This window comes from Homo sapiens, chromosome 5 (genome assembly GCF_000001405.40).
Source record: "Homo sapiens chromosome 5, GRCh38.p14 Primary Assembly".
Classification (NCBI taxonomy): domain Eukaryota; kingdom Metazoa; phylum Chordata; class Mammalia; order Primates; family Hominidae; genus Homo; species Homo sapiens.
Genome location: NC_000005.10, coordinates 6667865 through 6681081, shown reverse-complemented (window position 1 = coordinate 6681081; position 13217 = coordinate 6667865). Strand labels below are relative to the sequence as shown.

Below are 13217 nucleotides of genomic sequence, written 5' to 3'. Positions count from 1 at the left end.
CAGTACTTGCAAATTGGAAAAGAAATTGAAAGCATTTGTCAGATCAATAGCTGCCTATCAAATACCAGGAGCTGTGATAATATTTTCCAATAAACGTGGAAGAGCAGCTGCTTTTGGATTCACTGCCTAATTAAATTTATGGTAATCCACAGCCCATACCTTCTGAAAAAGCTGAATAGGTAAGCTAAATGGGGACGTAATAGTCTTTCAAGTTACTCAAAGAGAGTAACCTGGTCAAAGTTTACTGCAGAAATACTGCCAGTGCCACCATTCTTATATCTTTGAGGGTCATGCCAATCTCTGCAGTCTACTCAGGAATATGGTATTACTTTGGGTTTATTGTCCTAGAAGGAAGGAAAAGTTCCAGGAATTCTACCTGCTGTTTCCTCCCATACTAGCTCTTATTCCAAGCATCAGAGAAGCAACGTGTGTAGTCTTTCCATTTCTGATGGCATGTATTCCACCTAATCTTGGCAGGCACTGGAAAATAACAGCAAAGTGGACCCATGGCCAACTGGACCCACTGTGGAGCTTAGGCAAAAACTCCATTTATCATTTAAACAACATAAGCCTTCCCTTTCACTAGTGAAGCTCACTGTTATCATTATTCCCACAAATTAGCATCAATTCAGAGCCATCATCTAGCAATTCTCCAAATTCTGAGAATTTCCTTTTCTCCACTGCACATTTGTCCTACTGAATGGACACTGGTCCTTTGGAGAGTGCTTGGAGAAAGACTGACAGAATAAATACGTGGCAGCATTGCAGGGTCTTTAGTTGTATACCTAGTAGTTCAGTAACAGTACTGTCTTCCCCCTTGGACTCCAAGATCCGTCAACACAGAGGTATGTCTGCTCAGCTCACTCTGAGATTCTCAGAACCTAGCACAGACCCAGACACAGAGGGGGCTTGTGAATAATTTCTGAATGAATGAAGCAGGGATGAGCTGAGGGAAAGAAAGCGACACGATGCTGGGCCCTATGCACACAGGTTTGGGATCAAAACTCCAGCTGCTCATAAAGTGTCCTGTACTCAAGCTTGTGCATCTGTCTCCCTCAGGCTCCCCAGCGCATGACAGCTTCATAGAACCAGGTTCCAGGTGTTCAGAATTCTGAGTGTTGACCATCTCAATCTTTTTGTGGGCAGAGACAGCCTCTTTTTTCCTACTTACCTCACTGTAAGTACTTACCTCTCCATCTCTGGATTTAGCCATGGCTCAGCTCCAAGGATGATTCTGGACTGAACACATAAAGGATGGGAGAAGCACCAGCCCAATCTCTGAGCCTGAGTGTCAAGTCACCCCTGCCACTTGCTTGAGTCTGACTCATGCCCTCTATGTGTGCGTGGACATCTGGGTGCCCTGGAGTTGGAGGCTTTGCCCTAACAACCTGTGTGGTCCCTTGATGGCTAGGATCCTCTTGGTCACCTTCATCTCCCTATTCGTCTTACCAGGTCCTTCTCCTCATCTCTTGCCGGGGGTCTTTTGGTGGAGTTCCCTGATAGCTATTTAGATTTTCAGTTGGATCCCATGCTTTGCATTTTATTTTTTTATTGTTTTATTTTTATTTTGTAATAGTTTTAGATGATCAGAGAAAAGTTTCAAAATAGTACAGAGTTCCCATAAATCCCTAGGGCAATTATCAAATCAGGAAATCGACAAGGGTACTGCCCTTTTAACTAAATTGCAGATCTTATTGAAGTTTTGACAGCTTTTCCATTAATGTCATTTTTCTACCCCAGGGTATGATACAGGATCCCACATTTTGTTTAGCTGTCTTGTCTCCCTAGTCCTCTCCAGGCTGTGATAGTTCCTCATTCTTTTCTTGTCTTTCATGACCTTGACATAGTTGAAGAACACTGGTTAGGTATTTTAGAATGCCTCTTCATTTGGGTTCTGGGAAGTATTTTTAAATACAACATTATGTCATAGTATTTCTGGCCTAACATCCATGCTTCCATATCACTTGCAGAATAACATCTTCAACTTGCCATCGGGACATAAGGACTCCTTATTATGTGGTCCTGCTGTCCTTTCCTCCTCTTTTGCACATGGCCTTTGGAATCACCAAGTCCTGCAGCCATCCAGAAACTATCCTGAACCCCCTCTAATAAATATGTTTGAGCATTGTTGTCCTTTCTTACCTGAAATACTTTTCTTCCTTCCCCCTTGTCTACTTTGTGAACTCACAATCATTATTCAATACTATGCTATTCATGCAAGTAATGTTAGAAGCTATAATAACTCCCAAGTCTCAGTGGCTATTTTAGTCAGGGTTCCCCCAGAGAGATAGAGCCAGCAGGATATATGAAAAGGGATTTTTTTTAGGGGGAACTGGCTCACATAATCACAGAGTCAAAGTCCCATGATAGTCCAACTACAAGCTGAAAAACCAGAGAAGCCAGTGGCTCAGTCCAAGTCCAAAGACTCAGAACCAGGGAGGCTGACAGTGCAGTCCCCATTGAGCCCTAAGAGCTCCCAGCAGGCTGCTGGTGCCAGGTTCAGAGTCCAAAAGCTGGAGAACCTGGAGTCTGATGTCCAAAGGCCAGAGGAGAAAAGTGTCTCTTTCCAGAAGAAAGAGAGAAAGCAAAGAGGACCAATCTTCCTGCCTGTTTGCCCTAGCAAGGCGCCAGCAGCTGTAATACCCATATGACATTGCTCAAAGTCAATCACATGGCTTCATCCATATGCAACAGGATTGGGGAATGTGGTCTTCTGGAGCCTGGGAGGAAAATGAACAGTTTAATGAAGGCAGAGTTATCCACCATTCTGGTCACCAATTGTTTTGCTTCTCTTCCCATATGATAAAACTTGCTCCCCCTCTGCCCAAGGGAGAGAGCAGAGGTGCCCACCCAGTCATGGTATGTAGTTGGAGCCCAGGATACCTGAGCCATTCAGGACTCTCCACCAGAAACTGAACTGCTCCTGCTCCTGTTGGTCTGAGCGCCTATGATCTGAGTGATGTGCTATCTGCCACCCTGCTTTCCGATAGACAGTGATGGTTCAAGAACAGAACTGTGTGTAATTCTTCCCTTTGGAATGGAAATCTCATGTCCATCTCTAGCCCACAGTTGTACTTGAGTCCTGTAGATGTTGCATGGTGATGTTTCCCTGTTCTTAATGCTGGGAAAATTCTGATTAGATCCTGTTCTTGTGTCTTCAGAATTCACCCTCTGGGGGCTCTTCTTTCCACATTATTATCCACAGTCACCTAAGAATAGATGTTGGCCAATGTGTTTGGCTTGGGGCAGTGCAGCTTTTGGAAGTCACTTTCTGTTCAGGAAAGACTGGGTACTCAAAGATTGTTTTTTAAGTCTCCAATAGTCAAAGAACTTTTTGGTCCAGGGTTATGGTATTTTTTGGCAGTGCAGTTGTCTCAAAATCTTAGTGACTTCTGATCTATTTGCTTCCAGTCAATTTCATACATCAGTAACCACATTTAAAGACCTTTCCTGGACATTGTTCTCTAATCTCCTTTGGTTCCCACCTCTTCTCCACGGTGTTCCTCCCACTCAGTGGAATGGCAGCTTCTTTCATGTCACTGGGCTTGAGTGGGAAGTCTATACCCTTACTCACATATTTGCCCTGAGTTACTTTAATTAGCTTAGAAAGTTCACTAGATCTTTGTCAGCTCAAATAATTTTTTATTTTCATGTTTCACTGTCGGGACCAAAAGCAGTTACCTCTTACAACCCTATAAGGCCCTAAATTTCTGGCCTCTTGTTACCTTTGGTTTTCTGTTTTCAAAATAGCCAATTACATCTGTGCTCATCTCTTTCTTGTATTTCTTGCCTTTCCAAAGAGAATAAATTCCAATTTGTACACATTTCTAACATTCCATTATCCAATAACTGCCATGAGCCTATAGTGATGGAGTCAGCCTTCCAAGTTTCTGCACATGACCATTTGCCAGATGTCTTGTCACTATGTAACATAGATGTCCAGTCACCCAGCATGCTGTTTCCACCCCACCTCTTGTTCAACTGCTAAGAAAATGGCCAGATATTTTTGTTACTGCAGCAACCCACTTCAGAACACCAATTTCCATAGTATTAAATAAATCATGCCAGTTGTTGCAAACGACCTCCAAATTTTAGTGACTTAACAAAAGTTTATTTCTCACCCACCTGTTGTCTAATGAGGATGTTCCAGTTGAGTCATCCTTCTCCAGGCAGTGGAGTGACTCAGAGATCCAGGCTCTTTGCATCTTGGGATACTGCAGTCCCCAACATGTAGCTTCACATTTGCCACAGGAGGAGAAAGAACTGCATGTAAGAGACATTTCATGGGATATCTTGGAAGTGTCACACATCACATTTGCCCACATATCCACCTTGGTGAGAATTAGTTTCATGGCTCTACTCGGGTATAAGGGTAAATGTGATCCTCCTGAGTGTCCAGGAAGAGAATTAAATGATCAGCAATAATTAGAGCTATTTCTGGATTATTTCTGCCATGACTGTTAACTGGTGGCAAGTCAGGATGGGCTCCCCTCGTCCTTGATCCTTGTCTTGGGAGAAAGAATTCAGCCGAGAGACAGAGGTAGATGTAAAGCAGACATGACAGTTTATTGAAGCAAAGTGAAGTACACTTGGAAGGGACGAAGCGGACAACAAAACATTTGAATGCTTTGCCTGATTGTTGGCTCAGGGCTCTTATTTATAATTTCCCAGTTTCTCCCAATCTTCTCCCCTCATCTTTCCCTTTGGGTGGGCTGTTGGCTAATTGCCAAGTGCACAGTGACTTGCTAGTGTATGAGGGACCACGTGTGTCATTTGGTGGTTGAAGCTATGTGCATGCTGTCTTAGGACAATTTTCCCTTACTGGTCTAGCACCCCCAGAGGAAGGTCATATACGGGTCAAATGCTGCCATTTTGCCCCTTACTGTGCATGCTTAGACATGTCCCAGAGGAAGATCAAACTTCACCATTTTAAGTTTTTCTTGGGAAGTTGTTGCCCACAAGCTCAAGATGTCTCCTGTTTGTTAGGAAAATTTCCCCTCCCTATTGCCAGCTCCCTGGCTGTCAACAATCACCCAACAGTAACCTGACAGTCACCTGATGTTCTTTGGGGCCCTATGCTGCCCTGCTCATATCTGCCTAATTACCTACTCTACCATGACCATCTCAAGTGTCACCTGATTTCTTTGGAACCCCCATGTAGAATCAGACATTTCCCTCTCTGCTTACATGTGTATTGTACCTAATTTGTATCATAGCACCTACCGTGTTGTATTAAAAATTATTTTTTTGTTTATGCACTTATCAGGCCATGAGCCCCTTAAGGCTAAGATCTCTCTCGTATTCATCTTCATGGCACCAGTGCCCCAGACTCTGTGCTGAATGAGAGCTGGTGGAGCAAATGCTGAGATAGGAAGGAGGACAGGCTTAGAGTGGACCTAGAGAGTCAGTCCTCTCCAAGAGCAAGATGGGGTTTCTCTATTAGTAAGAGAAAAATTGGGGTTTTGTATATGACATATTGTCTAATAAAAATGAAAGCATCATTATTTTATTTTTCATTTAATCAAGAGGGAAGCCTGTTCCTCCTCCCTGCCCCCATACTTGCTGTTCACTAGGTAGTTTAGCATTTCCCAATGCATTATTCTCTACACAATGTAAGACCTCAGTAGAGGCCATTAATTATGTATTTTTGAATAACCTCTTGTCCTGAATGAAACTGTTACTTTTGGTAGACAAAAAGTCTCTAAAATGTGGGTACCGGAAATTCTCAGGACCCAAGCTGCTATTCAGTACTGGAATGGTGGCATGTGGGCTCTCTGTCCTCTGAAGATTTAGGATTGTGCCCCAGAGCTTCTCTATTCAAGAAGCCCAAGATAGAAAAATTTCCTATTCAGGCAGAACCATTTCCAATTAACTGATGGAAATACATGGAAATGAGGAACAACAGCACATTTGTTTGCTATTACTCTAAGGAACAAAGGGCTCGTGATGAGCCCGCACGAAGGGATTCTGTACGTCATCTGAGATGTCTCCTGGCTCCCAAGGACAGGGCCTGTGGGTGTGGAGAAGGACGCTTCCCAGCGGCCTGCCTGTCCTAGTGGATGGAGGGAACTGGCCACCACGAGGTCAGATGGGCCACCTTCCGACAATAGGTGGAGGAGGACACCATGTCTACGGGACGTCATCAGAGGTACAGACATCACAGGCTTATATTTATCTAGACAGTTTTCTAGCAGATGAAAGTGAGTTTTCTGAAACATCAGAACAGTGTGACAATTTTCTGACAGGTAGATGTGAGGCATCTGGAAGAAGAGCATCTTTTTAGGATTGTCCCCAAGGTGCCACCTGAGCTTCCTGCAGCCAAGGGGGCAAGCCCTTCCCACCAGTCCTAACTCTCCCCTCTGGCAGGGCTCAGCCTGGGGAGGAGACTACATTGTGAGGAGGAGAGGAGCATGTGGTCTGAAATCTGACTCCAGGGAAATTGGCCTCTGGTTGTGGTTGACACACCTGCCTTTGCAAAATCTGTCTAGCACAAAGGCACCAGAAGCAGCTCATGGAGTTACTGACCACCTCTCACCAGAGGCAACAGAGCATAACCCCAGGAATCAGAGCACGGGAGGATGGAAACCTCAGGGGCGAGGCTGGCAGAGCCTTCTCCCACCTTCTGCAAGTTTACGCCCAGCCAGCTGACTCCATCACATGGAGGACAAAAAGTCCATCCAATGAGCAAAACGCTCTTTTTCCACTCAGTTTTTTTTTTAATAGATTTAATTTTTTAGAGCAGCTTTATGTTTACAGAAACATTGAAAAGAAAGTACAGAGTTCTCACATATCTCTCTCTCCAACACGATTTCCCCTATTAACATCTTGCATTAGTGTTGTACACTAGTTACAGTTGATGATATTAACATAATAATAATAAAGCAAAAATTAAGTAGCATCTAAATTTAATAATTAAATAACATTTTAGATAATAATGAAAATAAGTAAAATAAATCATTTTAATTAAATAATATTATTAATAAAAATCCAGAGTTTACATTAGCATTCATTCTTCATGTTGTATATTCTATGTGTTTTGAAAAATGCATAATATTCTATATCCATAAAGTATCATAATAATAGTTTCACTGCCCTAAAATTTGTTTGTATTCTGCCTGTTCATCCCTCCCTTCATCCAAAACTCTGTTCTTTTTATTGTCTCCATAGTTGTGCCTTTTTCAGAATGTTATACAGTTGGGATCATATAGTATCTAGCCTTTGCAAACTGGCTTTTTTCACTTACCAATATGCATTAAAGTTCTTCCTTATCTTTTCATGGCTTGATAGCTCTTTGTTAAAAAAAAATCTCTGACACTAGTATTCTATTGTATGAATAGATTTTCCTCATAGAAATAGAATTGGATACAATTTCTTTATCCGCCCACCTATTGAAGGACATCTTGGTTGCTTCCAATTTTTGGCAATTTTGAGTAAAGCTGCTATAAACATTCATGTGCAGGTTTTCTGTGTGGACATGTTTTCAACTCCTTTGGGTAAACACCTAGGAGCAAATCTACTAGATTGTTTAGTAAGAGTATGTTTACCTTTTTAGGAATCTGCCAGACTGTCTTCCCAAGTGGCTCCACCACTTTGCATCCCCACCAGCCGTGAATGAGAGTTCCTGTTGCTCCACATTCTCACTAGCATTGGTGATGTCAGTCTTCTGGATTTTGGCCATTCTGATAGGTGTGTGGTGGTACTGTTGTTTCAATTTGCAATCCCCTAATGTCATATGATGCTGAGCATGTTATCATATGCTTGGCACTCAGTTTTGTTTCCCTTTCCTTCATGGGCCTGATGGAGCTATTTCTGATTCAAAGCAAAAAGAACTGGCTTATTGTTATGGGAGAAATATGTTTCTAGACTGATTGCGCCAACATTCCCTTCATATATCTTTCAAGAGTGATGGAGAATGATACTAATGCCAAGTATCATTTCCTTTTTTGGATCCTTTCAAATTAGACAGAACAATCGGTGCTAAAAACAATAGGAAATAATTGATGCCCTCCCCAGAGGATCTGAATTGGGAACGGAGTTTTCCCGGCTACGTGAAGCCTTTGAGAGCAGATTTTGCTGCTTTGCAGTGGGGGAAGCAACTAACTCAGACTGTCAATTACCTTACAAAGAGCTAGACGCTAATTAATTTGAGATATTTCTACAATCCCGCCTCCCACATGTGTATTTTAGACCAGATCAGCTAGATTTTAAGAAAGAAAAGAAAGTATTATTTTATTGAGAGAACTAGCTAGTTTTTTAATTCTGTTGAATAAAAGAAGTTAAACATAGGGTCTGTACTTGCTCCAACAAATTCTCCATAAGCCAATATTTATTAAGACATAGGAATTAACATATATCTTAAGGTATACCATGTCAATCACAGCAAGAGGTGCAAAGAGTGATGGCTCACTCCTCACCTTGAGAAGTTTACAGCTGTGTTGGGTAGACAAAATTGATATATAGACAACAGCAGGGATAGCCAACATTTGCAAATAATAATGCAACAGTTGGGCCGGGAGCTGTGGCTTGTGCCTGTAATCCCAGCACCTTGGGAGGCCAAGGTGGGTGGATCACTTGAGGTCAGGAGTTCAAGACCAGCCTGGACAACATGGTGAAACCCTGTCTCTACTAAAAATACAAAATTAGCTGGGCATGGTGGCATGCACCTGTAATCCCAGCTACTCGGGAGGCTGAGGCAGAAGAATTGTTTGAACCCGGGAGGCACAGCTTGCAGTGAGCCAAGATCGCACCATTGCACTCCAGCCTGGGTGACAGAGCAAGACTCCGTCTCAAAACAAAACAAAACAAAAAACAAAATAATGCAACAGTCAGGAGTATCAACAGCTAGCTTTACCAGGACACTTGGGCTGTTTCAATATCTAGTTTGACATTGATTATTGGAATTATCTGCTCAGAGGCATGCCACTCCAAAGAAGTAACTGCCCTCAGTGAGACTGCATGAACAGAGGCTGGTGGCTGTTGGCCCAAGATCATAAATGGGAGCCTGCAGTGGTCAGTGGATTGTTCAGCATAGTCCCTAAAGTCCCGCCCAACTCACAACATCAATTATTTTCTTCCCTAAGCACCAGGAAATAACAAACGTTCATATCTCAAAAACGTATCTGTAAGTCAACATTTTCAGGAATCCTGCTGCAAAAAGGCAAGGGGAACAGGGGAGGGCAGGCAGCTCTTTATGTCCCCACGAGGCTCAGTGGTGGAGAGAGGACCTGGAATAGGTCGATGAATATCTTTTTTTCCCATAAGTTATTGGGGGTACAGGTGGTATTTGGTTACATGAGTAAATTCTTTAGTGGTGATTTGTGAGATCCTGGTGCACCCATCTCCTGAGTAGTATATACTATACCATATATGTTGTCTTTTATTCCTCACCCCCCCTTACCCTTCCCCCCAAGTCCCCAAAGTCCATTGTACCATTCTTATGCCTTTGTGTCCTCATAGCTTAGCTCCCACATATCAATGAGAACATAGGTTGTTTGGTTTTCCATTCCTGAGTTACTTAACTTAGAATAATAGTTTCCAACAATAAAAACAAAGATAAATAGATGGGACTTAATTAAACTAAAGAGCTTTTGCATGGTAAAAGCAACAGTCAGCAGAGTAAACAGACAACGCACAGAGTGGGAGAAAATCTTCACAATCTATACATCAGACAAAGGACTAATATCCAGAATCTACAACAAACTCAAACAAATCAGTAAGAAAAAAACAAACAATCCCATCAAAAAGTGGGTTAAGGACATGAATAGACAATTCTCAAAAGAAGATATACAAATGGCCAACAAAGTATGAAAAAATGCTCAACATCACTAATGATCAGGGAAATGCAAATAAAAACTACAGTGCGATACCCCCTTACTCCTGCAAGAACGGCCATAACCAAAAAAATCAAAAAACAGTAGATGTTGGCATGCATGCGGCAATCATGGAACACTTCCACACTGCTGGTGGGAATGTAAACTATTAGAGCCACCATGGAAAACAGTGTGGAAATTCCTTAGAACTAAAAGTAGAACTACCATTTGATCCAGCAATCCCATTACTGGGTATCTACCCAGAGGAAAAGAAGTCATTATTCAAAAAAAGATACTTGCACGCACATGTTTATAGCAGCACAATTCACAACTGCAAAATCGTGGAACCAACCCAAATGCCCATCAGTCAACAAGTGGTATATATATATATACAATGGAATACTACTCAGCCATAAAAAGGAATCAATTAGCAGTATTTGCAATGATCTGGTTGATCAATATCTTAAGAAAGGTGGTTAAGCTTTGGTTACAGCAATGGCCGATAGAGAAGATTATGGCTGTATCAGACACAAGTGAGGGTCCCTTCCCTTTTCCTTGCTTTTATTCTTGTTATTTTTTTCTACCTAACATTATTTTAGCTACTTACTTGTTTCTTACCTGTCACTCCACCTGGGCCAGGACTGTTTTTTCTACCCATCCGTCCTCAGCACCCACTGCTGTGCTTGATATACAGTAAGTGCTTGGCAAATGTTGTTGAATGCACAAATGCATGCACCGCTGGCCTTGGAGACTAAGGAGGAGATGGGTACAACTATTGTTCTCTGCCTCATTGGATTTTAGCTTTGGTCATGATAGCAGTTGGCTGTGGTCTTCCTACAGATAACAGCAGACAGGGTCTGGACGGAAGGAGAGAAATGGGCTTTTGGGTTCCAAGTTCTGTCAGTGTTGGGTGACTGAAGTCGTGCACAGAGGCCTCTCTGAGGGAGAAGCCATGGCCATGCCACCCCCTGGCTTCCCTGCAGCTTGAGGCAGGAGGTAACCAGCCATTATGGGGCAGGATCCCTATAGGCCAAAATGTGGAGACTTTATTTTTTTCCTGGGATGCCAACACCTAGTTCTCTGGTTTTCCCCACTTAGTTAATTTTTGTGTTAGGAAAGGCCACCTCCTCAGCCTACCTTCTCTTCCCCGGCAATGGGCACATGGCTCATTTCTGGGCTCTCTGTGCTCTCCCTGGAGAGTGGGGGTGCAGAGGACACTGCTTTCTGCTGCAGGCGCCATGTTTAGTTGGTCTCACTTTGAGATGCTCATTTCCCTCTGCCTTCTGTCAGCCCAGATGTGAGGACCCAGGGTCTCCGCAGGGTGTGCACTGTCATGGCCTCTCTGCTCTGCCACATCAGGCCCATCTCCACCCGTGCTGTGGTCCATCTGCAGTGGTGACTCTCTCTCACTCTCTTTATGGGGCCACTCCCCCACCTAAATTCCTTTGAGGTGATTTCAACTGGGGTCAGAATAGAGAGGGGAGAAGGAAAGGTGTATGTTCAGCTCATCAGATTTAACTGGAAGCTCTCAAGGCTACTTTAAAAATCATAAAAGCCATTCCCAATAAGCTTGTTTGTTTTAAAGGAAATCTCCTTTCCAAATCACTGTAGATAGTAAACAGAAGAAGTTGAAAAAACCAAATAAAAACAGGAAATATGATGAAAGAATGTTTCGATGTAACAATTAGTAAAAGAATTTGAGCTACCTTGTTAAATGGCAAAGTCTATTTATTATGTTGTTAAAGACAACTGAAACAAATGGCATTTAAAAACTCCAGATGAGATGATAAGGCAAAGCAATGCCAGATGAATTCATCAAGATAAAAAGCAGTATGGCAATGTTTTTATCAAAGTAGAATTCAAGTCATGAAGCATTCAACAGGAAGATTATTTTATATTGATAACAGGTACAGGCTATGAGGGGAAAGCTTTGCAAAGCAACAACAGCAAAACAGAAAGCAAAAACTATTAGAAGGAAGATTAGCTATGGAAGAAAAAGAAGGCTGTAGAGAATTTTAACAATTATTATGTTTCAATCAACAAAGAACAAACAGGATAAATCTTAAAAAGTGGTCTTGTTATTGTTACAGAAAGTGATCATTCTTTACACTACAAGGGAAAACTCAAAATCTACAAAAGAGAAATTTCACAGACAACAATCTCTACTATATCCATACGTGGGGAACAGAACAAAAAAACTAGGTCTAGACTAGAAGACAGAGAGAAACCATGTCAGACCAGAGCACATTGATGGCTCACGGTGAGTGACCCATGGCCTAAAGGTGCCTGTTTAGGGCCCAGGAGCCACTCACACAGGCAGAGCAGCTTACTCCGTATGAACCACCACCAGCACCCCTCCCTGCCCGGTGATGTCACCCGGTGGGCTGGGCTGGAACAAGTCCAGATGCCTTTGCCTCACCTTGGAAGGGCCACGAGGAGCTTCCTCCTCTATCCCCAAGTTCTCCACTTACACACAGCACCTGACACGAAGGTTGGCAAGTTTCCCCCGGGCCATGACTGCACAATGGCTACCCCCAGCCTCTGTGGCCTCCGAGAGAGGGCTCCTAGACAGATTCCAGCCCTATAGGGGGAGGGAAGCAACACTGCAGTTGACCTTGAAGAGATCACTGTAGGGGGCTATAGAAGGGATTGTGACATTTATTGTTCTGAAAATGCCATCAAAGACAGTTGTAAAGTCTAGTCTCATACACACTTGGCAAGACATAGCCAAAAGAGGTAAATTTGAAATTAGAAAAAATATCAGCAGTTATTACCCAGAGCTTGAAATTCTGACCTGTTACACAGTAGGATATTCAACCTCCATTTCAGCGTATTTAGGTACTTATTAGGTAGATTGCAAAATTACTAGAAAAAAAATTCCTAGAGGACATCTTGAAAATGATAAAGTAGCAGGAAAATTACAAAGATATAACTTATTTACAAAGTCCATAGAGAAGCGCCATTGGAAAGCTTCAAGTTGAAGATAATTTCATGAAAAACGCACTTAAAACAAAAATGGAATTATAATTTTTCTGAACTTTGGATACTCTTCAAATTTCCGGAGGTACCACCTAAGAAAAAAAAATTAAAAAAGGAAATAATTCTGTCGCTTAGACATTTAACCAATGCTAACAAAAGTGACAATATTTTTCATTACAAAAGAGTACTCAGTTTTTTAAATGTAGTAACAAAAACTTTGGCATTTCATACTTATAGTTTAATTTTGCCTATTATCATGAAGAATTAAATATATCTAATCATAAAGTGTGATTCAGAAGAAGTAGCCCATAGAATTCACCTTTCTATCTGGAAGGAAAATTACTGACATTTGATGAAAATACTGATCAGCACATTGCGGAGCTGTCTTTTCAGCCCCCGGGGAAAGCATGCAGGCTGGAGGAGGGGCAG

The 13217-nt window shown here is 42.3% G+C and overlaps 1 protein-coding gene across 4 annotated transcripts in view; it reads right to left on the bottom strand.

The window, feature by feature from the left end:
• Nucleotides 1-6695: 6695 nt before the first annotated feature.
• The window catches only part of SRD5A1 (steroid 5 alpha-reductase 1), a 40947-nt gene continuing 34425 nt past the window's right edge, over nt 6696-13217 (bottom strand). For all 4 annotated transcript variants that reach the window (NR_136739.2, NM_001324323.2, NM_001047.4 and 1 more), the window contains one exon: nt 6696-12880. Coding sequence is in view for 3 of the 4 variants with exons in the window: in NM_001324323.2 (NP_001311252.1) it covers nt 12814-12880 (67 nt within the window). In the remaining variant the exon portion in view is untranslated. The remainder of the gene's footprint in view (nt 12881-13217) is intronic.